Below are 27621 nucleotides of genomic sequence, written 5' to 3'. Positions count from 1 at the left end.
GACAAAGGGCTAATATCTAGAATCTACAATGAACTCAAACAAATTCACAAGAAAAAAACAAACAACCCCATCAAAAAGTGGGCAAAGGATATGAACAGACACTTCTCAAAAGAAGATATTTATGCAGCCAACAGACACATGAATAAATGCTCATCATCACTGGCCATCAGAGAAATGCAAATCAAAACCACAATGAGATACCATCTCACACCAGTTAGAATGGTAATCATTAAAAAGTCAGGAATCAACAGGTGCTGGAGAGGATGTGGAGAAATAGGAACACTTTTACACTGTTGGTGGGACTGTAAACTAGTTCAACCATTGTGGAAGTCAGTGTGGCGATTCCTCAGGGATCTAGAACTAGAAATACCATTTGACCCAGCCATCCCATTACTGGGTATATACCCAAAGGACTATAAATCTCGCTGCTATAAAGACACATGCACACGTATGTTTATTGCAGCACTATTCACAATAGCAAAGACTTGGAACCAACCCAAATGTCCAACAATGATAGACTGGATTAAAAAAATGTGGCACATATACACCATGGAATACTATGCAGCCATAAAAAATGATGAGTTCATGTCCTTTGTAGGGACATGGATGAAGCTGAAAACCATCATTCTCAGCAAACTATCGCAAGGACAAAAAAAACCAAACACCGTATGTTCTCACTCATATGTGGGAATTGAACAATGAGAACACATGGACACAGGAAGGGGAACATCACACACCGGGGCCTGTTGTGGGGTGGGAGGAGGGGGGAGGGATAGCATTAGGAGATATACCTAATGTAAATGACGAGTTACTGGGTGCAGCACACAAACATGGCACATGTATACATATGTAACTAACCTGCACGTGGTGCACATGTACCCTAAAACTTAAAGTATAATAAAAATAAAAATAAAAAAATAAAAAAATAAAAAGAGACTGGCTTGGGTGGTTAGAGGATAAGGCTAGGGCTGATGTAGCTTGGACTTCCTGCCAGTGCCAGAGGAGGGAACATTCAGGCTTTCTTATCAGCCTGCCCATATGTGGAGCAGAAGAGGAAGGAGGAGTGGTGGGACTTGAATGCTTTCAGCAATGAAACAACATGAAATTGGATTCAGCAATGAAACAACAAAAATGGATTCAATATTTAATACAAGCTTTTTTGATTCATGCACCAAAATAATTTTGTCTGAATTTAACTTCAAGACGAAGGGCCTTGGGTTCTGAAGCGTACCTCCACCACCCAGATCAGAAGCAATAAAAGCACACACGGGTTTCAGTCTATCCTCATGGGCTCCAGCTCACACTTGTGGCTTATAGCTTGATCATGCTCTCCCCTGCTTTACTTACATATTTTCTTCAGGATTGCCTGGGCTGTGAACTTTAAGCGTCAATAACAGGTACAAAGACAGCAACTTCACAGTAACTACTTAACCAGCTCCCATCCCATACAGCCAAATCCCTGCCACAAGTACCTATGTGCGTGTGTGTCTGTGGGTCTCCATGTGTGTATGTGTGGGTACACATACTAGTGGCTTTTCAGATTAAACTCTGATACAGGAACCCCAAACCCTACTTGTTTGGAAGATGGGAATATGGATTAAGAAAGGTTTGGAAACCCATCTCAGACCAGATGATATTCCCATTCAATAGGTTGAATGGTTCCCATTGGACCACCAATTAAGTATTTAATTCATCCAGGTGTTAAAGATCCTTGAGCCTATATCTGTATCCAGAACTGCAGCCAAACTGAACTGCTGGAAGTTCTCTAACTAGACAGACATATTCATATACACAAAATGCAATAATGTGGGAAGAAGGCCCAGGTCACAGTCTCAGTTTTGCCTCCACCTAGATGAAAGACCTTGGCCAATCTTACTCTGCTAGCCTTGATTTCCTTATATGTACAGTGGTATGTGTGGTCATCTTGGATAATTAACCATCTTTATCAATTTCATTTTGAAAAGCATGAGATCACATGTGCAAATGGTGAGGTTTTTCTTTTTTTCAAAGAAAGAGTCTATACACTGAGACTGTCTTAATTACTATTTTTGTTATAAACAAGTTCTCAAGGCCCTCATCATATAGTGTAATTTCTAAATTTTAGATCACAGGGTCTAACTGTGTCAGTCATGATAGCTACACATGCATTAATTTCCTTCCTTTCACTCTCGCTCACTTCCCTTACTTAATATATTAAATGTCACGACAATTTTCTACCATGCCCAATTTGTGCCAAAGTGCAGATTTTTCATACCTGCAGATAGGATTTAAAAGTGCCAGCATTTTAAAGCTTAAGTTCTTATGAAGGCAAATGATGGTAGTCATTTGTGTAAATCTTGTTGAGAATTTTCTTTAACTTTGGTCTCTAAGTCATAAAAATTAATGTCTATAATTTGCTTTATAGTTCCACAGAGAGGGACAGTGAAGGAAAGGGGAAAAATACCTGCTCTATTAGAGAGTGTGACCAGAATTGATCATGTGAGTGAAAATCCAGAATTATAAAATTATTGCTACTCTTATGCAAAGAAAAGGAAATGGAAAGAAAAAAAAGGATTAAACAAATATACCAAGAGAAATTTAAACGCTACAGAAGACAAGTCTGCTAATAAAAAGACAGAGTACTAAATTATTATGACTCTAAACTTAACTAAATGATTGTAGTCATTTTTCAACTCCTGCTTACCAAGTCAAATTAGAAAAATAAACTTGCCCAATAAGAATAATGGAGACAATTCAAAAAAAGTATTGGCAAAGTGCAGGTGGGGAGTAATTCGAGTCAGTGTGAACATAAACATTTGGTCTGAATGATATGCATTGTGACATAATAAGAAAATTAGCAAACATCTATTGAATTGCTTATAATTGTCTTTAAACAAAGCACTCAAGACACGCCATATGATTAGAGGAAAACAGATATGCTATCATTCCACAGAGCAGGTAGGAATGGCTGAGCCAGCTATTATAATTCAGAAATTGTACCTTAGCAATATAATGAAACAAATATAATAAGATGAAAAATCTTTAAACAGTTAGAACACAATGGGATCGTAAGCAAAAGATAAGATGGCCTTATAAAGAAAATATCACTTTAGACTGAAGTCATAGATTTTTGCCAACAAATTAGAAAATCAATGGCTGAAGGAAATGAAGTAGATGTTTCATAATTGCAATGCCTTTGGTGAAGCTTGTAACAAAAATCACATAAAATGTTATTGCTTAAATTGGTTTGAATTGGCTTAAAGATGAATATAGTCACTTGAATGGAAAATTGTTTGCCCTATTGAAGAAATATGCCTAGAAGATATTGACAAGGATGAGTATTTATTTATTTCAATGCACCCAAATTTTCCTTCTTCTTTTCAAGGTCTTGATGCAAATGAGGATAGACTTACAAATACAGGTACTACCCATATGCAAATAGTAAATTCTATATTTATTTTTGGCCAACTAAATGATACAGCATCCATTTAAAGAATAAAAAAGGTAGAAGAAAATGAAGGAATAAGGTAAAATGAAATATATCTAATATAGGCATATAGTACAAAATATTGGTTATTTCTGATAATATCTATGTAAAGAAATGGAAGTATGGTTGTTTGGGGTTTTGTTTAACTTTGGTTGAGTTATCTTCTGTACAAATTTTGGGGTGACTGCATCTCCATGGGAGGTATGCCCTGTAGGCTCAGGCTTGCATGAAAGTTACAGCCTGTTCCTTCTCTAGATGGAATGACAGCATCCTACACATGAACAGAAATGGCTGTCTGCCGAGTGTGGTGGCACATGCCTGTAATTCCAGCTACTTGGAAGGCTGAGGCAGGAGAATCACTTGAACCTGGGAGGCGGAGGTTGCAGTGAGCCGAGATCAGGCCACTGTACTACTCCAGCCTGGGCAACAGAATGAGACTCTGTCTCAAAAAAAAAAAAAAAAAAAAAAGGGGGGGGGGGCTGTCTAATCTGAATACCCAGAACACCAGAACACTGGAACAAGAGTGTGATGAGGAGTTGGATCACTTTTCTGCCAACCTGGTAGTAAAACTGAGGCAACTCCCTCCCTTCCCCCTGCAAAGACCTCAGTACATTTCACCAGGAGCTCCCTCAGCCAATTCCATCAGGGCTACGACATTTTCCCACCATTGGAGTATTGCATATACCCACCTGCTATAGCTGTAGCCAGTTCTTACCCGTGGGCACCTCCTACCAGCATGAAAGCTGAACTGTTCAACCTAGTAGAGAAAAAACACCTGAGGAAAAAAAAGTGGAAACCACTGGGGAACAAGGAAAGCTTCATGAGATCTCTGCCATCCTAGCCTGATATGGTTTGGATTTGTGTTCTCACCCAAATCTCATGTCACATTGTAATCTCCAGTGTTGGAGGAGTGGCCTGGGGTAGGCAATTGGACCATGGGGGTGGATTTCCCCCTTGCTATTCTTGTGATAATGAGTTTTCATCAGATCTTGTTTAAAAGTGTATAGCACCTCCCTTTTCTTTCTCTTCCTCTTGATCCAGCCATGAAAAGTGTACCTGCTTCCCCTCTGCCTTCCGCCATGATTGTAAGTTTCCTGAGGCTTCCCCAGCAATGCTTCCAGTACAGCCTATGGAACTGTGAGCAAATTAAAACTCTTTTTTTAATATAAATTACCCAGTCTTAGGTATTTCTTTATAGCAGTGCAAGAATGGGCTAATACAGAAAATTGGTACCTAGCAGAGGGGCATTGTTATAAAGATACCCAAAAATGTGAAAGTAGATTTGGAACTGGGTAAGAGGCAGTGGTTGGAACAGTTTGGAGGGCTCAGAAGAAGACAAGAAGATGAGGGAAAGTTTGGAACTTCCCAGAGACTTGTTGAATAGTTTTGACCAAAATGCTAATAGTGATATAGACAGAGAAGACCAGGATGATGAGGTCTCAGATGGAGATAAGAAACTTACTGGGAACTGGAGGAAAGGTCACTTTTGTTATGCATTCACAAAGAACCTGGAGGTATTGTGACCCTACTCTAGGGATCTGTGAAACTTTGAACTTGAGAAGGATGATGTAGGGTATCTGGTAGGAGAAATTTCTAAGCAGCAAAGTGTTCAAGATCTAGTCTGGTTGCATTTAAAATCCTATGCTCATATGTGTGAACAAAGAAATGACCTGAAACTGGAACCTAAATTTAAAAGGGAAGCAGAGCATAAAAGTTTGGAAAGTTGCAGCCTGGCCATATGGTAGAAAAGAAAAATTCATTTTCAGGCTGCAGAAATGTGCTTACCTAAAAGGAAGAGAAGTACGAATAGCCAAGACAATGGGATAAAGACCCTGAAGGCATTTCAGAGACCTTTGTGGCAGACCCTCCCATCAAAAGTCCAGAGGCCTAAGGAGGGAAGAATAGTTTTCTGCGCCAGGCCCAGGGCCCTGCTACCCTATGCAGTCTTGGGACACTGCTCTCTGCATCCCAGGTGCTGCAGTTCCATCCATGGCTCAAAGGGGCTCAGGTCCTCAAGCTGCTGCTTCAGAGGGTGCAAGCCTCAAGCCTTGGTGGCTTCCACATAGTGTTAAGCCTGTGGGTGTGCACAGTGCAAGAGTTGAGGCTTGGAAGCCTCTGCCTAGATTTTAAAATTATATGGAAAAGCCTGGATGTCCAGGCAGAAGTCTGCTACAGGGGTAGAGTTCTCATGGAGAACCTCTACTAGGGCAGTACAGAGGGGAAATGCAGGGTTGGAGCTACCACGTAGAGTCCCCACTGGGGCACTGTCTAGTGGAGCTGTGAGAAGAGGGCCACAATCCTCCTGACCCCAGAATGGTAGGTACACCGATAGCTTGCATTGTGCACCTGGAAAAGCTGCAGGCACTCAACACCAGCCCTTGGGAACAGCCATGGGGGCTGTGTTCTGCAAGGCCACAGGGGCAGAGCTGCCTAAAGCCTTGGGAGCCCATCCCTTGCATCAGTGTGACCTGGATGTGAGACATGGAGTCAAATGAGATTATTTTGGAGCTTTAACATTTAATAACTGCCCTGCTGCATTTTGGACTTGCACAGGGTCTGTAGTCTCTTTATTTTAGCTAATTTCTCCCTTTTGGAATGGGAGTATTTTCCCAATGCCTGTACCCCGATTGTATCTTGGAAGTAACTATCTTGTTTTTATTTTATTTTATTTTATTTTATTTTTTATTTTACAGGCTCATAGGTGGAAGGGACTTGTCTCACATGAGACTTTGAACTGAAGACTTCTGAGTTAATGCTGAAATGAGTTAAGACTTGGGGGACTGTTGAGAAGAGATGATTGTATTTTGCAATGTGAGAAGAATATGAGATTTGGGAGGTGGCAGTGGCAAATGATATGGTTTGAATTTGTGCAAACATCCAGGGCTGAAGTTAAGCAATCACATCTTCAAAGCAGGGAAAAACCCACTCCAATCAAAAATAAATTAAAAACTATTAAGAAATAGTCTATCAGGATGAGAAGGAACCAGAAAAATAATTCTGGCAATATGAAAAAACAGAGTTTTACAACACTCCTAGTGGATCATACTAACTCTCCAGCAATGGATCCAAACCAAAATGAAATTCTTAAAATAACAGGTAAAGAAATCAAAATATTGATTACAAAGTTGCTCAATGAGATCCAAGAGAAAATTGAAAAACAACAAAAATAAATTTAAAAAATCAGAATATGAATGAAAAAATTTCTAGAGATAGTAAGAAAAAGAAAAACAAAACTTCTGGAAATTAAAATATTTAAGAGCCTGAAGACAAAGATTTCAAAATAACCAATCAGACAAAAATAAAGAAAAAAGAATTAAAAGAAATGAAAAAAGTATCCAAGAAATATGAGCTTATGCAACATAACCAAACCTAATAATTTATTCATAGGCATTCCTGAGGGAGAAGAAGAAAAAGCAAAAAAAAAAATGGAAAACATATTTGAGGGAATGATTGAGGTCTTGCTAGAGATTTAGACATCCAGATACAAGAAGTTCAAAGAGCTACTGGAAGATTCATTGCAAAAAGAATATTACCAAGGCATATAGTAATTAGGCTATACAGTCAATGTGAAGGAAAGAATTCTAAGAGCAGAGAGACAAAAACATAAAATAACTTATAAAGCAGAACCTATCAGACTAAGACAGCATATTTCTCAGCAGAAACCTTATAAACCAGAATGAATTGGGGTCCTACCTTTAGTTTCCTTAAACGGAATAACTGTCAGCCAAGAATTTTGTATTCCAAAAACTAAGTTTCATAAATGAAGGAGAAATAATGTTTTTCTAAGACAAGCAAAAACTGAGGGTATTTGTCACCACTAGACCGAATGATCCTACAAGAAATGCTCAAAGGAGTTCTAAACATTAAAATGTAAGGTCAATATGCAACAGTATAAAAACAGTCAAAAGTGGAAAACTCCCAGGGCTTATAAAACAATGCAATGGAGAATACAAAGCAACCAGGTAACAATCAACATGGTGACTGGAACAGTATCACACATATCATTACTAACTTTGAATGTAAACCCACTGTCAACATCATATTGATTGTGGAAAAGTTGAAAGCATTTCCTCTCAGAACTGGAACAAGACAAGGTTGCCTATTTTCACCACTTCTATTCAACATAGTACTGAAATTCCTAGCCAGAGCAATCAGGCAAGAGAAAGAAATTAAGGACATCCAAATCAGAAAAGAGGAGGCCAAGCTATCTCTGCTGATAATATTATCTTCTACCTAGAAAACCCTAAAGTCTCCTCCAGAAGACACCTAGATTTGATAAATAAAATCAGTAAAGTCCCAGGTGGCAAAATCAGTGTACACAAATTAGGGGCACTATTACATATCAATAACATCCAAGTTGAGAATCAAATCAAGAACTGTATCTCATGGACAATAGCTGTAAAAATAAAATAAAATAGGAAAACATTTAACCAAGGACGTGAAAGATCTCTACAAGGAGAACCACAAAACTCTGATGAAAGAAATTATAGATAACATAATCAAATGGAAAAACATTCCATTCTCATAGATTACAAGACTCAATATTATGAAAGTGATCATACTGCCCAAATCAATCTACAGATTCAATGCAATTCTTATAAAAATACCAATGTCATTTTTCACAGAATTAGAACAAAAACCAATCCTAAACTTTATATGGAAACAGAAAAGAGCCCAAATAACCAAAGCAATCCTAAGCAAAAAGAACAAATCTGGAGGCATCACATTACCAGATTTCAAATTATAGCACAAGCCTATAGTATCCAAAACAGCATGGTACTGGTATAAAAGTAGACACATAAGACAATGGAACAGAATAGAGAACCCAGAAATAAAACTATCTACCTATGACCAGCTGATCGTCAACAAAGCAGACATAAACATACATGGGAAAAGGACGCCCTACTCAATAAATGGTGCTGAGACAATTGGATAGTCATATGCAGAAGAATGAAACTAGACCCGTATCTCTCACCCTATGCAAAAATTAACTTAAGATGGATTAAAAACATTAGACCTAAAACCATAAAAATGTTAGGAGAAAACCTAGAAAAAACTCTTCTAAATATTGGTCTAAGCAAAGATTTTATGACTAAGACCCCAAAAGCAAATGCAAAAAATAAATAAATAAGTAAATAAAAGGGACTGAATTAAACTGAAAAGCCTGTGCACAATAAAAGACATAATCAACAGTAAATAGACTACCTACAGAATTTGAGAATATATTAACAAACTATACATCTGACAGAAGACTAATATCTCAAATCTACAAGGAACTCAAACAAATCATCAAGAAAGAACAAATAATCCTATAAACAAGGGACAAATACCATCAACATTTTTTAAAGTAAATATATAAATGGCCAGCAAACATATAAAAAAATGGTCAATATAACTAATCACCAGGGAAATGCAAATTAAAACCACAATGAGATGACATCTTACCCCAGACAGAATGGCCATTATTAAAAAGTCAAAAAATAATAGATACTTGCATGAATGCAGTGGAAATGGAATGCTTATACACTGTTGGTGGGAATGTAAATCTATACAACCTCTCTGGAAAAGAGTATGGAGATTTCTCAAAGAACTAAAAGTAAACCTACCATTCAATCCAGCAATCCTACTACTGAATATTCACCCAACAGAAAAGAAGTCGTTGTATAAAGATACCTGCACTTGTGTGTTTATCTCAGCACAAGTCACAACTGCAGAGATATACGATCAGCCTAAGTGCACATCAGCCAATGACAGGATAAAGAAAATGTGATATAAACATACCATGAAATATTGCTCAACCATAAAAAAGAAAAATAATGTCTTTTGCAGCCACTTGGATGAAACTGGAAGCCATTATCTTTGAAGTTACTCAGGAATGGAAAACCAAATACTATATGTTCTCACTTATAAGCGGGAGCTAAGCTGTGGGCACACAGAAGCATGCAGAGTGGTATAATGGATATTGGAGTCTCAGAAGTGGGGAGGGTGGAAAAAGGGCGAGGGATAAAAAATTACCTGTTGGGTACAATGTATACTATTTGGGTGATGCGTACACTAAAAGCTCAGACTTTACCACTATGCAATTCATTCATGTAACCAAAAAGCACTTGTACTCCTAAATATATTAAAATACAAATAAAATTAAAAGCCAGAGTCTAAGAATTTAACCCTTGAATTATCCCCTCTTTTATTCTATACCCTTCCCTCCCTCCCACGTAAAAATTATCATTTTCAGTGGAAAAAGTTGTCAGAAAGCTTCCAAAAAGATACTTTGTGTCACAATTAAGGTAAGCACTCTGCTCACACAAATCAAATGAAAATGAGCCTAGAGGTTATTGATCCTCTCTCACCTACCAGGTGAGGAACATACTTTATCTGGCAATATCCCAGGGTCTGAACTGGGGGCAACTTTTGTTCACAGAGCCACATAAAAGCAATGAGCAAACAGCAGGATTTGATAAGATGGCTAAAAACTAGGTCACCTAATCTGACACAGAGGGTGGGAGAGACCAGGGACTTGGATAAGCAAAGTAGCTGAGAGGGAGGCTTGAACTGTGTCAAGGAAACCAGGAGACCATCTGGGATTTAGGAGAGACAATCAGGGGAAAGGAAGTCTTAGGCAAAGGGAACCTCACATGCAAAGACACAGAAGCAGAGTGCACACCAAGATTCAGAGCAGCTGAGTGTGTCTTATCTTAGTGTTAGATTGACCATACACCCAATGCTTGCTATGCAACCACAGCTTAAAGCATTATCAGTGCTCTGTTGTGCATAGGACAAAAGGGGGAAATTCCTATTGTGGCCTACAAGACCTGCCTGGCCGTCTTGCCCACATCTTAACTCTCCAGTTTCATCTCGCTGCATCCTGTTGGGAGACAATTATCCGTGTATATCTCACATTGCCGCACTTCTTAGAAAAAGATGCAATAACTGCCATTTTGTTCCAGATTATCTTTTCAAGAGTACAGGGAGTTGTCCTGGAAGTTAGAGACAGTGTTTGCCTCTGGAGCAGAAGGCAGGTTTGATTACGGTCCAGTGTAATAAAGACGGTATTTCCCTCCAGTAAGTCAGGAAGGCTTACTATCCATTTTAAAAGATTGAAGTTCAGAAAGCTCAGGACTCCTTAAGGGTGACACAAACTCACTGCATGTGTAGCTCCACTGGCACCCCTTCATTTTACCTCTGTGGGACTTTGAGTGGGAGTGGAGGGGTGGTTGATGCAAACATGCAGCTCCTGCTACTTGCTGTGCCATGAGTAATAGTCTTTTTCTCTGACCCTGGAGTCTCATGTTGTCTGCCAGCCACTATAAAATGGTAACAGGCTAGCCTGTTTGTTTGAAAATAGGATAAAATCTCACACCCTTCACAATTTGTTTTTGTTTTTGTTTTTGTTTTTGTTTTTGTTTTGAGACAGAGTCTCTCTTTGTCGCCCAGGCTGGAGTGCAGTGGCGCGATCTCGGCTCACTGCAATCTCCGCCCCCGGGATTCACACCATTCTCCTGCCTCAGCCTCCCGAGTAGCTGGGACTACTGGTGCCCGCCACCGTGCCCGGCTAATTTTTTGTGTTTTTAGTAGAGGTGGGATTTCACCGTGTTAGCCAGGTTGGTCTCAATCTCCTGACCCTGTGATCCTCCCACCTTGGCCACTTTCTGAATTCTGGTTACTCTGGCTTTGTTTCCATTTTTTGAAAGTATCATGTTCCTGGCCACACATCCCTTCTTTATAGAGTGTTCCTTTGCCCTCCTTGTCAAGTTAGTACTTATTCATCCTGAAGATCTCAAGTATCACTTCCTTAGAAAGCCTTCCAGAGCCTTTTCCCCGTAAGCATAAGGCACCCACCCACCTCTCACAGTGTACCTTTAGCTTATAACATCAATCACAGTGCAATAGGATGATAAATAGAAATTTCCTCACGTTTTCAATTTTCAAATGAGGACCTGAAGTTTAACACAATAGATGATGAATGTCCTATATATTGTAAAGCAAAGTGCTGGGCATATAACCTAAGGACTTGCTTAGAATAATCAAAATTGGCTCATCCAACTCCTGCCTATATAAATAAAGCCATGGTCTTCATCTAAAAGAAGACAAATATTTATTTGACAGGAATTTGCTGATGAGCTGTAGAGAATGCGGGATGTTTTTCATGTTCTGTCCTTTTCTTTGCTCTCTGTCTCTGGCCAGGTGAAAGGTCCCCAAGAAAAACTTTCACAGAAATTGGGATTGTTTAAATAGAGGAAATCACCAGCCAGCTCCCTCGTTAGTTGCTTACTTGGCAGTAGAAAGTAGAACTTGCCCCATGCTGCTGCTTAATGGAGCCCATGTGTTCTTGCATAAGCCTTACATGTGTTTTCTGAAGTCAAAGAAAGAAAGTCAAAGATCTGAGCCTGATTCTTCTGGAAAAGCCTGAATGAGAAGTTAGCTGAAGCTTTCCCCAGAACAAAATGATAAGAGAAGATAGCAACAGGAGAGGCTTGAATGCCTAACATTTGGAAGGACAAGGATGCGTAATATCGTTTCAAGGGTGAAGTGGACGTGGTTGAAGTTGGGCAGGCAAGAATGTTATTAAAATAACTTGCTCCACAGGGCTACCTACTGAACCATGGGGTTACAAGAGGAAGTCTACCAGGAAGAAGATGTTATAGAGCAGTCTACAGAGAGGGAAGGAATTAAAAGAAGCATGCTGCCAAGGACAAGATAGAGGAGAGGAGAGAGGGGAGCAAGGAGAATGAAAGAGCACATCCCTTCCCCACTGCTGGTCTGGGGAGTCACAGGTCTGGTCCAAGCTGGATAAAGAGAAAAAAACTCTTAACTGAAGAGGGTAAAGTTTTTATTGAGATTAGTATAGACTTCTTAATACCTGAAAACAGACTTTTAAAAATGCCTAGACGTTATACAAAAAGTTTTGAGCAATAAGGAAAAAAAATATAAGGCAAGATCAAATAGATAAGAAAGGAAGAAATAAAGCATCCCTATTTGCATATGACATGACTGTCTGTGCAGAAAATTTTGAGAAATCTACAAAAAGTCTCTTAGAACTAGGTGAGTTTAGCAAAGTTGCAAGAGACAAGATTATACAGAGATCATTTGTATTTCAATATAGTAACAATGAAAATGTGGAAAAACTTAAAAACCATAAGATTTACAAATGCTCTAATGAAAATTAAATTCTTAGGGATATACTTAACAAAAGATGTGCAGAATCTGAAAGCTAAAATGTATTTAATACAAAATTCTGATTAAATAAATCAATAATCTAAATAAATGAGGAGACATACTGTGTTTATGGATTGGAAGACTCAACATAGTAAAGATATCATTTCTCCCCATATTGATCTATAAGTTTAGTATAATGCCTATCAAAATCTCAGCAGGTTTTTTAGACAATATCTATGTAGACATATATCTATATCTATGTAGACATATGCAATTTTATTCTAAACTTTACATGGCAAGGCATATGTCATAGAACAGCTAAAACAATCTTGACAAAGAAGAATAAAGTTGGAGGAATTGCCCTACCTGATAAGACTTATTATAAGCTACAGTAATCCAGACAGTGTGGCACCAGCAGACAGAAAGACTCATTGAACAATGAAATAGAACAGGGATTTCAGAAATAGACTACATAAATATGCTTAGCTGATTTTTGACAAAGATGCAAAAGAAATACAATAGAGGAAAGATAATCCTTTCTCAATAAATGGTGTTGGAGTAATTGGACGTTCATAAAAACAGACTTCAACCTAACCCTCACATCTTATACAAAAATAAGCTCAAAATGGATCATTGACTTAAAAACTTTTTAGGAGGACATTGCGGATACAAAACCTTCTAGCGCTGGGAAAGAATTCTTAGATTGGACAACAAAAGCACACACACACACACACACACACACACACACACACACACACACACACAAAACAGCTGGGTACAGTGGCTCGCTTGCTCACACCTATAATCCCAGCACTTTGAGAGGTAAAGGCAGGAGAATTGCTTGAGGCCAGGAGTTTGAGAATAGCCTGAGAAACAGTGAGACTCTGTCTCTACAAAAAATTTTAAAAACAAAAAAAATTAGCTGGTGGAATGCAACTGTAATCCATGCGCCTCGGGAGGCTGAGGTGGAAGGATCACGTGAGACCAGGAGTTTGAAGTTGCAGTAAGCTATGATCATGCCACTACACTACAGTGTGAGCAACAGAGTGATATTCTATCTCTGATGATGATGATGATGATGATGATGATGATGATGATGAAAAAGAAGAAGGAGGAGGAGGTAGAGGAGGAGAATAATAATTATTTATGAATTGGACCTCATCAAAATCTAAAAATATTGGAACTCACCAAAATTGAAAAAGTTTTCCTCTGAGAAAGCCCACATGAAGAGGCTGAAAAGAAAAGCTACAGACTGGGAGAAAATGTTTGCAAACCACATATTCAACAAAGGACTGGTATCTAGAACATACAAACTCTCAAAACTTAACAGTTACAAACCAAACTATCTAATTAGAAAATCAGCAAATTACCTAAATACGTATATCAAGGACGAAGATATAGATGGAAAAATAAGCATATGAAAGACATTCAACATTATTAGACACCAGAAAAAATGCAAATCAATATCACAAAGAGATATCACTGCATACTTATCTGTTAGCTAAAATTAAAAATAGTGACAGCACTAATTGCTAACAAGAATGAGAAGAAACAAAATTACTTATCCTTTGCTGGTAAGAATGTAAAATGGTACAGCTACTCTAGATACTATTGCAGTTTCTTAAAAAACTAAATATGCATTTACCATACCAGTCGGCAACTGCACTCTTAGATATTTACCCAGATAAATAAAAATTGTGTTCACACAAAACTAGTACACAAATGTTTATTACACTTTAACTTGTAATGGGAAAAAAAACTAGAAATGGTCTTGATGTCTTCCATAGGTGAATGGTGAAGCAATCTGTGGTATATCTGAACTATGAATGTTACTCAGTGTAATGCCTACATAACATCGCTGAATTTCTACCCTGCCCTAACTCTGCTTATCTTTAAGAAAAATTGGAAAAATGTTCCATTTGTAACCAGACCAGCTAAGACTGGTTAAAATCAAGATACCCAGATAGCTGACCAACAACTTCAAAAAGACTATAGGCTTCATTATTACCTCATTTCCATTCTAAATGACACTCCAGCAATGCCATAACAGTTGATAACTGCCATGACAACAATCCTAAAAGAAGCAATAAAAGGGCAAAAAGGAAGGTGACACTCTGGTTCCAGAGAAGTTCACTGCTCATTTTCAGAAAATACTGAATATTCCTACCCTGACTTTTAACGTCCAATCCCTTCATTAGAGAAATCCTGTATTTTATCCCTGTCTCCCCTCACTAGTCCGGAAGGTGATTTTTGAGCCACACTCCTGTTTCTCCACTCCCTTGGCCATGGAATAAAGCTTGCTCTCTACGTGATCCTCACTTTCAGTTTCATGTATTGGCTCTAGGACACTGAACAGGAAAGAGCCCATCTTCTGGGGCTACCGAGTTTAGAGGTAGCATGAATACTACTCAGCAATAAAAAGGAACAATCTATTGAAAAGAATCAACTTGGATAAATTTCCTTAGAATTATGCTGAGTGAAAAAGCCAATCCCAAAAGATTACATATTGTATTATTCCATTTATATAATATTTTCGAAATGACAAAATTTCTAGAAATGAAGAACAGGTGAGTGGTTTCAAGGGGTTAGGGATGGAGGTGAGAAACAGGGAGGGAGGTATATGTTGTTATAAATGAGTGACACAAAAAAAATTCTTGTGATGATTAAACTGTTCAGTATCTTGACTATGGTGGTATATACATGAACCTATACATATGATAAAATTACGTGGAACTAAATACACGAATATGTACACATGGACACACAAATGAACATAAGTAAAACTGGAGAAATATGAATAGAATTAGTGGATTTTATCAATGTCAATATCCTAGTTGTGATAATGCTTTGTAGTTTTGTCAAATGTTCCCATTGGGGTAAAATGGGTAAGGAGTACATGGGCTCTCTCTGTATTTTTTCTTTAAACTATACATAATTCTAATATTATCTCAATAAAAATTTCAATTAAAGACACATGGGACATGCCAAAGATTCCTTATTTGGGTAAGAAAGGCAATTTACCAAAGTGGGTTTAAAGGCAAAAATGAAAAAGATTGATCACTTCCAGTTTATACCACCTCAAGTTTAACCAGTAGCATACACTCTTGCAACATTACATAATTTCACACTTAGTTTTATGTGTTTTGGTGGATATTTGTTGCCTTATTGTACTGTAAGCCTCTTCATAGCTGGATCATATCTTGATTGCTCATTATTTTAGCTCTAGATCCTGACAGTTATTAAGTAATCAAATAGTATTCCATAAATTAACAAAGGAAGTTTTAAAAAATGTTAAAGAAACAGAATTTAACAATCATTAATACAATATATTAAGCAGCAATAATGCCAAAAGAAAAAAGTGCCAGGACAACAGTGAAGTAAGTGCTTCCAGGTGTCAGGCTGGTGAAGGTTCATGTTCTTCCTCTGGCTCATGTCTCATAGGTGAACAGGCAAGTTATGTGATTTTCTACGCTTCAAATTCCTCAACTGCAACATGAAGGTGCTAATAGCATCCATCCTAGAGGGTTGCTATGAGAACTGAAATTTTATAGGTAAAGCATAATAGTTGGAACATAGTAGTTGCTCAATAAATGCTGTTTCCTCTACTAAAATTATTGTTACCACTGCCAAAACTCATGTCACAAAACGAATTGCGCCAGTTGAGGAACAACAATGGTTACAAAAAGACACTGGCCAGAGGGCCAAATAGAGAAAATAATGAAAGACACTTTTTACATGTTTTTCAATAGTAATAGTGTTCTGTAAGTGCATTTTTCTAAAGAGAGATAAAATTAATAAGCGTTAATAAAATCACTTTAAAAAATCTCATATTTACAAGATATACTACATTCTAGGCATAAAATATGCCTTAACAAATTTTTTAAAAATAAAAATTACACAAGATATGTAAGAACATCCCCCAATAGAATTAAACTAGAAATCAATAATAGAAAGCTGAAAAATCACCCAAATATCTGGGTGTTAAACAACACAATTCCAAATGACCCAAGGGCTAAAGAATAAGTAAAAAGAGAAATATAAAAATATTTGAAACTAAAAGAAAATGAAAACACAACTCATCAAAAACTGGGATTCAGTGAAAGCAGAGCCTAAAGGGAAATTTATAACATCCAATGCATATATTAGAATGAAATAAAGATCTAAAATTAATAGTCTAAGCTTCCAGCCTAGAAAACTAGAGAAGGAAGAATATAAGCCCAAAGCAAACAGAAAAGAAATAATAAAAAGTAGGATCAATGAAACTGAAAACGGGAAAACAGTAGAGAACATCAGTAAAACCTAAAGGTAGTTCTATGAGATCAATATAATGAATAAGCTTCTAGCCTTAATCAGAAAAAAGGAGGAAAGATACAAATTTATCAATATTAGAGATGAAAGAAAGACATCACTACTGATACCATGGATATTAAAAGGAAAATAAAGAAATAATATGATCAACTTTATGTTCACAAATTTGATAACTTAGATGAAATGTAACTATTCCTTGAAAAATACAAACTATTAAAACTCACACAAATTAAACAGACAATCTGAACAGGCCTCTATGTATTAAATAAATTGAATCAATCATCAATAACCTTCCAAAACAGAAAAAAAAAGGAAAACACCAAGCCCAGATGTTTTCGCTTATGAATTCTATCAAACATTTAATCAATATGTGATACCAGTTCTCCACAATATCTTTCAGAACATCGACATGGATAGAACACTTCCCAACTTATTCTATGAGGTGGGTAGCACTACTGCAATACAAAACCAGCTAAAAGCTTTACAAGAAAGGAAATCTGAAAACCAATATCTCTCATGAATAGATACAAAAATCCTCAACAGAATATCAGCAAAGAAAATCTAGTGATATACAAAAAGAAGTACACCACAACCAAGTGTAAATATGCAAGGCTGGTTCAACATTCAAAAATCAATTGCTGTAATCTGCCACAATGGACAAAAATAGAAAAATAATATGATATATCAATATATGAGACAAATAATTTGGTGAAGCCCAACACCCATTCATGATAAGATCCCTCAGCAAGCTAAGAATAAGAGAAACTTTCTTATCTTGATTTAAAAAAAAATTATTAAAAACCTATAGCTAATATCATACTTAATGGTGAGTATTTTCCCCCTAAGAAGGGGAACAAAGCAATGATATCCTCTCTTCCCTATCCTACTATATGTAACACTGGAAGTCCTAGCTAGTGCAATAAGACAAGAAAAGAAGACAAATAGTATACAGATTTTAAAGGAGGAAATAAACCTGCCCTTATTCTCAGATGACGTGATTGTCTGTGTAGAGAAATCCAAAGAATACACAAAAGGACTCCTCAGACTAATAAGCAAGTTTAGCAAGGTCACAAGAAACAGGATTAATACACAAAAGCTAATTGCTTCCCTATGTATCAGCAGTGACCAATTGGAATTGGAACTTTTAAAAAGTACACATTATTTACAATGGCACCAAAAAAATGAAATACAGCTGTGTCCATTGGTGTATGCAGAGGGATTGGTTCCAGGATCACCATGGATACCAAAATCCATGCATACTCAAGTCTTGCCATTTTCCCTGTGGAACCTGGTAATGCAAAAATTCAGCCCTTTACATACACAAGTTTCATTCCTCATGAATACTGATCTGCGTCTGGTTGGGAAAACTGAATATAAGTGGACCTGTGCAGTTCAAACTCGTGTTGTTCAAGAGTGAACTGTACGTAGGTTTAAATTTAACACATGCACAGGGTCTATATGTGGAAAATTATAATTTTTTTTTGTTTTTTGAAAGAATATAAATCTGCTATACTCTTTCATTCTTCGGTACTCACCAATTTAGTTTCTCTGCTTCCTTTCTCTTTGTTCACACTTCCAAGTGTCATCCTCTCTATGAAACACTTGCATGAAATTTCAGGCCATTCTGTAGAATTGACCACTCCTGCTTTTGTGCCCCATTGAACCCAGTGTATGTTTCTATCATGGCATATAAATCACTGAATGCATTTTGTTGTTTAAATATATTTATCATTTTACTAGTCAATAAATTATTTTTAAAAATGTATTTTTTATCTTAAGATAGATCATTTTCTTTTTATTTTTAAATTGACAAATAAAAATTATGTATATTTTGGTGTACAACATAACATTTTGAAATATGTATATATTGTGAAATGCCTGAATCAAGCTAATTAACATATTACCTCACATATTTATCATTTTTATGGTGAGAACACTTAAAATCTACTCTCTTTGCAATTTTCAAGTATATAATACATTGTTATCCATAGTCACCATGTTGTACTATAGATCTCTTGAAATTATTCCTCCTGTCTAACTGACATATTGTACTCCTTGACCAACATCTTTGCAACTACACTGGTTCCCCACACCAGCCCCAGATAACCACCATTCTAGTCTATGCTTCCATTAATTTGACTTTTTGGGATTCTACATATAAGTGAGATCATGCAGTATTTGTCTTTCTGTGCCTGGCTCATTTCACTTAATGTAATGTTCTTTAGGTGAATCCATGTTGTCACAAATGACAGGATTTTATTCTCTTTTAAGGTTGAATAGTATTCCATAGTGGATATATGCAACATTTTCTTTATGTATCCTTTGTTGATGAACACCTAAGTTGATTTCATATCTCTGCTATTAGAAATAGTGCTGCAATTAATACAGGAGTGAAGACATCTCTTTGATACACTGATTTCATTTCCTTTGGCTATATACATACTCAGTAGTGAGACTGATGGATCATGTAGTAGCACTTTTTAACTTGAGAAAATTCCATACTATTTCCCATAATGGTTATAATAATTTACATTTTCATTTTCACTAACAGTGCACAAGAGTTCTCTTTTCCACACATCCTCTCTTTTCTCCACGAGTGTTATAATTTTACTTGTAAACAGAATTATACGGAATTTTTAAATACTGATTAAAGAAAATCTAAATAAATATTTTCCATGTTCATAGAGTGGAAAACTTAATATTGTTTAGATGATAATACCTCATAAATCAATCTATAGATTTCATGAAAACCCTAATAAAATCCAAGCAACTTATTTTACAGGTGTTAACAAAATGATTTAAAGTTTATATGGAAATGTGAAAGACTTAGAATAGCCAACACAATATTGAAGAACAACAGTGAAGGATGCACCCTTGCTGATTTCAAGTCTTACCATAAAACTACAGTAATCAAGACAATGAGGTATTGACTAAACAATAGACATAAGTTACTGGAACGAAACAGCTCAGAAAGAGACTCACACAAATATAGTCAACTGCTATTTGTAAAAGGAGCAAAGGCAATGCAGTGGAGAAAAGGATCATCTGTCCAACAAATGGTGCTGGAGAAATTGGATGGCCATAGGCCAAAAAAAAAAAAAAAAGAGAGAAACATAACATAAAACACCTAGACACCAATTCAAAATGGATTTACATGTTACATGTAAAATGCAAAACCATAAAATTCCTAGAAAAGAGAAAAGCAGAAAATCTATATGAACTTGTGTTTGGTGGTGAGTTTTTAGATGCAATACCCAAAGCATAATCCATTAAAAATTTGATAAGTTGTACTTTATTAAACATAAAAGCATGTGCTCTCTGGAAGACACAGTTAAGAGAATGAATAGGCAAGCTGCAGATTGGAAGGAAATATTTGTAAAATACGTATCTGACAAGGAACTTATATCCAAAATATACAAAGAAATCTTAAAATTCAACAATAAGGAAACAACCCAATTTTTTAAAATGGGCAAGAGCAGATATCTCACCAATGAAGATATACAGAAGACAGGTAACCCTGTGAAAAGGTTCTTAACATCATTTTGTTAGGGAATTTCAAATTAAAACATTTGTAACTTTATAATGGAGGAAACTGACAAACACTACCTGAGCCACGTAATCAAGGTCAATATCAGTAACAATGTCAGATTGATAGCATGTACTCTAACCCAAGTCCAATCATGAGAAAACATCAGATAAATCCCAAATGAAGACATTCTACCAAATACCTGACCAGTACTTCTCAAAACTGTCAAGGCCATCAAAATCAAGGAGTCCAAAAATTTGTCAGCCAAGAGGAACCTGAAGAGTCATGTCAACTAAATGTAGTGCTGAACCCTGAACAGATCTTGGAATAGAAAAAAGAACATTCGGTAAAAGCTAAGGAAATCTAAATAAAGTATGGACTTCAGTAAACAATAATATGTTGATATTATTAGTTGCAGCAAATGTACCATACTAATGTTAGATGCTAATAATAGAGGACCTGGGTGTGGGATACATGGGAATTCTCTGTACCTTCTTCGCAATTTTCCTGTAAATTTAAAACTGTTCTTTAAAAAGTTTTTCTCGAAGGCTTGTTGAATGGATATGGAGTTTTTGTTTTGTAAGATGAAGAGTTTTAGAATCCTGTTTTACAACAATGTGGATATGGTTACTGATTTACACACTGAAAAATAGTTGAGATGGTGAATTTTCTGTTGTTTTCCTCCACAATTAAAAATAAAATATTTTTAAAAGTCTCCTTTTTACTTTTAGCAACTTGAGTTTCTCAGTCTCTTCAATTAACTTAACATTAAATACTAATTATTATTCTAACATACTAATTGTTAGTATACCTTATGGCATCAATAAAATGCTTTATGTATGTATGTAGGCACTGTGCTAAGTGTTTCACAAAAACTTGATGGAATCTTTACAACAACTCCATTAGGTGAGTACTATTATTATGTTTCCCATGTTACAAGAGGTAACTATGAAGCTCATAGAATTGAAGTCAATTGCTGTGGTCACATTGCTAGTAAGTGGTTCTAATTCCCAGAGCAATCTGCCTCCAACACTCCATATTCGCAACTACTTTGTTATATTAGCAAATTTCCCTTGCAACAGGAAGGTATCCGAACCCCAAGGTATTAAGACAAAAAAAAAATCCAACAACAAATACTTTTAAAAAAACACAAGAGCGAACAAATAAATAAATGCTAAGCTAGCAGAGCAGCCAGTCACTTAAGTAAAGTGGCTTTCCATTTCTATGCATTTCCCATAGCAGCTTTGTGCCATTGATGGCTAGTCTCCAATTCGAATCCCATTACCATCAATAGTGGCTGTTGTGATGTAATCTATGCTCCCTATCACTCACTAATATTCATTTATGAAAACTGGGAGGAAAAAATATGCCATACCTCACAGACCCAAAAACTAAATGTTGCACATTTCGACAAAAGTTGCATTTGTAGGAAAATTAAACTCGAAAACTCCATCATAAATGTCAATTCTTTTAGAGGGAGGAAGAATCTTTGAATAAAGAAGGGAAGTAATGTTGCTAAGAAACAGGTTAATCTTGCATTTTGTTAAAATAAAATAAAATAAATTAAATAAAAAGACCTGCATGTTACCCATCTGTTTACGAAGCCCCTTGCACATGTCAGGCATGGGCTGTGACTGATGGAAAAGCAATCTCTCTGTTTGTGAAATCTCACATTTCTCTCCTGGAATTTAAAAGAGGCAGAAAGCTCATATGAGGCTAAACTGGATAGTTCCTTGGAAATTAAAGTTGGAAAACTTTGAGGAAAAATATTCCAAGCTCCATCTGATCTAAAAATCAGCACCAATGCTTACCTTTAATGTGGAAAATCATAAGTAGCCAGAATAGATCCCTGTTCAGGATGGAGCAGGCCACGTGAATGGAATGTGGAAAATACATAAATAACTTTGAACTGAAAATGTGAATACATTTTATAACTTTGAAAGTGCTATGAAATGTTAAACCAGGGTTCAAACTCTATGATTTTTTCCCCTCCATCAGCTTTCACTAATTTCAGTTTCAAAGACTCTTACATAAAAGGAAGGCATAGTCTCTATTATTACTGTTCCAGTTTTATAGATATTAGCTTTAACTTATTGATTATGTTGAGTCTTCTCCATCCTTACTAGCATTTTATCCTTTGGCTTTCCTAGAACTGAGAGAAGTGTGTTAAAATCTCCTACTATTAGTGTGTCTCTATTTGTCATACCTAGCAGTTTCTGCTTTTTGAAAGTCGTTTCTGTGTTACTGGAAGAAAAGATAACTTTTGAATCTTCTTTGTGAATTTCTGCCTGTAGTATTATAAAATATCCTTCTTTATCTATTTTAATATTTTTGGCCTTAATTTATACTCCTCTATAAGAAGACCCCTGATTTTTTTAAAATTTGCAATTGCCTATTCTTTTATTTTTAACCTTCAAAATCACTTAATTTTAGGTATGTCCCTTTTAAATATCATAGAGCAAGGATTTTCTTCTTTGGGCACTCTGAAAATCTTTTCTTTTTTCATTATAATAAGTAAGGTGAGCCTATTTGCATTTGCTGATATGATCTATGTGTTTGGTCTCTGTTCTGTCATAATGCTTTATGATATTTTTTATTGAATATAGAAAGTTGTTCACTATGTGGTCCTTGTTCTTGCCTCCTTCTTTTTTAAGATGCATACTAAAGTATTTGATAGTAAACTGATATTTTACCATTTTACTATAATTTACTTTAAAATATTTCAGCCGTAAAAAGTGGTGTTTGCAGGGGGACACATAAAATAAATACAGTAAAATATTGGTGGTTATTCAAGATGGGTATTGGGGTTCATTGTAGTTCCTTCTTTTATGTATGCTTGGAAAAATTTGTTTTTAAAAGTGCTTTGCTTTTTAAACAGTTACAAAAAAGAATTTCATCTGTTTGGTCTATTATACAAAGTTTGAATTTTTTAAATTTGCTTTCACAATAAGCCAAGTTATATCTTCATGAACACAGACCTGAAATAATAAACACTTAAAAGCTTCATAAAAAGAAGTGTTAGTCTCTAAATCAAATAAAGACTCTCTTATTGCCTCAAGCTCTGCACTAAATTATACATACTGTAAATGAGCACAGCTTCTTTTAAACTTATAAGAAACAATTTTGTCTTTGTGAGAGTTTTATAACTACATCCACAGCCTATAAAAAGCCTGTCTTGATGTGGTTCCCATGGTGACAGGACATAATATATGTGTCCATTAAATTTGGAAATGTAATGAAGTGTAATAAAAATCTACTTCAGAAAAATACACTTCTCAGTATATTTTTATTAATTAAAATATTACATTGAGCATTTTTCATGTCTGAATGCCTGACAGCAAATAAAAGCTTTGCCACAGATTAACTGTGACTCTTGAGTTCCATCCAATATTAACTGGTACAAAATGGGAAAGGCATTTTTGCACAGAAAATATTTTGACTGGTGGCCCAGAGTGATTAATGGGTAAACAGTAACGCTTCCTGAATTGTGCATATACCATTTCAAATGCCACCAGCAAGACCGATTTTGACATTTGTGTCCACAGGGACAGAACAGATGAGAAATTAGATGTCTTCAATTCTTGTGGAAGAAGAGAAGTTCCTTATTGGTGATTCCCTATCCCAGCCCTGCTGAGAATGTGAGACCATTTTGCCTGTTGGGAAGGCATAGTATCATAAAAGCAGTTTAAGAAAATATCGTATAAGCTCAGCTATCAACAAAAGCAAAAACCAGCTGAGTACATCATTGGAAACACATCAGTAGCAAAAAACGAAAAAAGTGAGGGATGGAGAGAAAACCAAGGAGTAATGAGCTACATCACTCTCACATTCCACTTTGAACGGTTAAAATTCTAAGCAGAATAAGAGGAGAGGAGAGCATCTTATTTTCAGAATGGTTACCTAGTTAACTTCAAATGAGGAACAGAAAATTCTCAAGTATATTCAAATATATTCTCTGTGCCTGTCCTTCCAAATTAAGAATATCTGAATAAGTTTGATATATTTGAAATCACATGAAAAATGTCACTGGGGAAAGAATGCATAGTTTCTTACCCACTCCAAAAATCAGGATGAGCTTGAATTTCCTCTCATATATTAAGTTAATCTGAGAGATATTTATCTTTTGAATGATTGTGCCATACTGCAAAGCAATAACTGTAAGAGTCTTCACTGTCCTGTTTGTTGTTCCATGAAGAACCTGACCAATTAAACTACATTGAGCAACTACACAACTAAAGAACAATGTGCTAAACTTACAGGATTATAAGCCCTCCCAAAGATAATTTTTAATACTCTTACAGTATTCCTATTACTTAACCATACCTCAAGACCCTCATCACATTTTTGGAATATGGAAAATATCTGAAAATCACTGCTCTCACTGACATAGTGCCATGCTCAAAAATGAAAAGATATGCTTTATACATTATATTACTACTTAATAGTACAGATTTGCCTTGCTGTTGCAGTGAAAAAGTAGTCAACGGCAATTCACAAATATTTGGAAGTTCCCCAAAGCAAACTTTTCTTCCTTACTGGCTCAGAAGGCTTTTTGAAAATAGAGAACTCTAGGAGTGCACATATTTCGAGGCAAAAATAGAAAGCAAAAGAAGTGAGGAAACCAAAAGCCTTCCAAATCTGGAGGCTCCTGAGGTGTTGAGCTCAGATCTTGCCAGCAGCTCCTTCTCATTTGGTGAGGTGGGGATTTATAAGCACACTCCTTCTACCCAAGTGGAGTGTTTCTGTACCAAAATACATAAGAGGACTCTTTAAGATTTAGCACTCTAGTCAGGGTTCCTTGATTTTTAACACATACACTCCAGCATCTGTCCATCCCAGGGTTTCTCAGGTACACTGCTAGCTCCTGATCCTTCATTTCACATTGAAGCACTCATCAGACTATCTCTAATGATCTCCTCTTCCATGCCACTGGCCCACCCACTGGACTGTGAGCCCCTTGATGGAAGGAAATGAATCTTGCTATTTTCAGCATTTCACCCTTAGTGACTACTTAGCACAGAAATGTTGATTTATGTGGATGGAAAAAGTCTTGATCTATTTGTAAACTACTATATACATATGAACACTGATTCTGTCAAATACATAATGGCACCCTTCATTCTTTGCAACTCAAGATCACATTATCTGGATAGTAGACACACAAGGTTGTATTTCTTTGTTCTCTGCCCTTTTTTGACTAAAATATTACTGAATTGTTAAAGTGTGAATACAGAAAAAGAATATGTATATATAGTGTATGTGTGTGTGTATATGTGTGTGTGTGTGTGTGTGTATATATATATATACTGAGTCACTGCCTCTGCCTAATTTTACCCATTTATTTATTTATTCATTGTATTTTTTTAACATCTATGAAGTGTTACGCTTTATCTGAGACACTGGGCAAGGAGTAGTGAACAAACTAGAAATGTTCTTTTCTCTCAAGAAGCTTACATTCTGCTGTGCTTGAGAAAAGACAATAAACCAGTAGACAAATAAAGGTACCAGGTAATTTCAGGTTGTAAAACATGCAGATAAACAAGGCAAACCATATGATATAATAAAGTGAGTAGAAGGGAGAAGCTGCATTAATAAGTGGCAAGAAAGGCCTCTTTGAGGGGTGGCTTTGATCACAGCAAATTTAGAAGAGTGAAGGAGAGAAGAGGGGTAGCCGATGAGACAGAGTGGGTTGGGGTAAGATCATGGAGGGCTATATAGGTTGCCACAGGAGTTCAGATTTTACTCCAGCGCCACAAGAAGACATTGGACTATTATAAGCAGGCAAGTGGCAAGGCCTTATTCTTAGGAAACACTACTCTGGCTATTGGGTAGACAATGGAATGTGGCCTGCCACAGGTCAAGTGGGGGATCCTACAGGAAGACTGAGCCACATTTCCTCCAGGGGTTCTCAATTAGGGGCGATTTTGCCTCCCAAAGGACATCTGACAACTACTAGGACCATTTTTGGTTGTCCCAACTAGGGAAGAGGGGTGCTACTGGCATCTAGTGGGCACACCCCATAGATGCTGCCAAATGTCCTTCAATGCACTTCCATTCAGTGATGCCACGACTGAGAAACCTTGATTTACTCTACGCATATTTGCTCTTTGGCTTCTGGGAAGCATGGTAAGAGTAACAGAAAAAAAAAGTTAAATAAATTCCAAGGGGTGTGTGTTCATATGACATAAAGCAGCAAACTAGGGAAAAACAAAGAGCACACAGGAAGTTATAAAGCTAGACTTACAGTCATCCCAAACAAGGAGTCATCTACTAGGGTCACCTCTTGTATCAAAAGCAAAGAGGCCTTGCTCTAGAGACTAGCTGAACTCCGTTTAATTTTTTATTGCATCCTCAGCATTGTGACCCCCATAGCTGAAAAATAGAGAATTACTTTTTTATTTTCCTTTTGTTAAATTAAATAGCACTCGATTTAGATTACTTTGTAGTAACACTTAGAAATATTTCACAAATAGCACATCTAGGCCTTAAAGTGTCCTCCTTTCAATAAGTTGATAATTTGCTTTCAGACATGTGAATCTTTTATTAATTAGTGATTGAGATAGAAAATATTCTTTGTTGTGACGTCTGCAACTTTTCTGTCAATATGTCTACAAACAGAGACAGTAACCCACAATGGATACCACAGTCAGATAGCTTGATCTAGGGTAAGCTCATGATGAGACTGACGCACCAGGATTCCCCCAGCAGGTGATTATGCTAGTCTTAGAGAAGGTTTCACACTCAAAGGGAACCCCTGGGATGCTGCTATTACTCTTTGAAGGACACTTGACTTTCACTGAACATCTGCCTTGCTTAATGTATGTACCCCTACTAAACATGCACACCTGAACTGAATGTTAACCGAGGAAAAAAATGAGCAAGAAACCATTTTGAAAACCCCAGGACCTCTGCTAGTAAGCTAAAATACAACTTGGATCCAAAAAAAAAAAGTCTTACTATAGGATTTTAGGGGTTTCCTATTAAAGGGAAGTTTAAGTTTATATTTCCTGAATAGCCACATTCCATGAGAATCAATAAAAAATTAATGGAAAAACAAGATTAAATACTTATATAAGAATATGAAAGTTACACCTACTAGAATAAAATAATTCTAACGTGAGGCAATATATAGGCAGATAAATATATTTCTTAATGAAAATGCAAA

At 36.4% G+C, this 27621-nt stretch overlaps 1 long non-coding RNA gene across 1 annotated transcript in view, besides 1 other annotated feature; it reads right to left on the bottom strand.

The window, feature by feature from the left end:
• SAMD12-AS1 (SAMD12 antisense RNA 1) overlaps window positions 1-27621 on the bottom strand; it is a 105067-nt gene that overhangs the window by 25818 nt on the left and 51628 nt on the right. The gene's annotated exons all lie outside the window — the stretch shown is intronic.
• Window positions 5126-5626: an enhancer, noted in NCBI's record as "H3K27ac hESC enhancer chr8:119706863-119707363 (GRCh37/hg19 assembly coordinates)". NCBI's record gives its function as "activates a minimal SCP1, AML or CMV promoter by ChIP-STARR-seq in naive H9 embryonic stem cells {active_cell/tissue: H9 hESC(naive)}" and the evidence as "EXISTENCE:reporter gene assay evidence [ECO:0000049][PMID:30033119]".

The sequence above is a fragment of the Homo sapiens genome, chromosome 8, assembly GCF_000001405.40.
Source record: "Homo sapiens chromosome 8, GRCh38.p14 Primary Assembly".
Lineage (NCBI taxonomy): Eukaryota > Metazoa > Chordata > Mammalia > Primates > Hominidae > Homo > Homo sapiens.
This window is presented reverse-complemented; position numbering and strand designations above follow the sequence as displayed.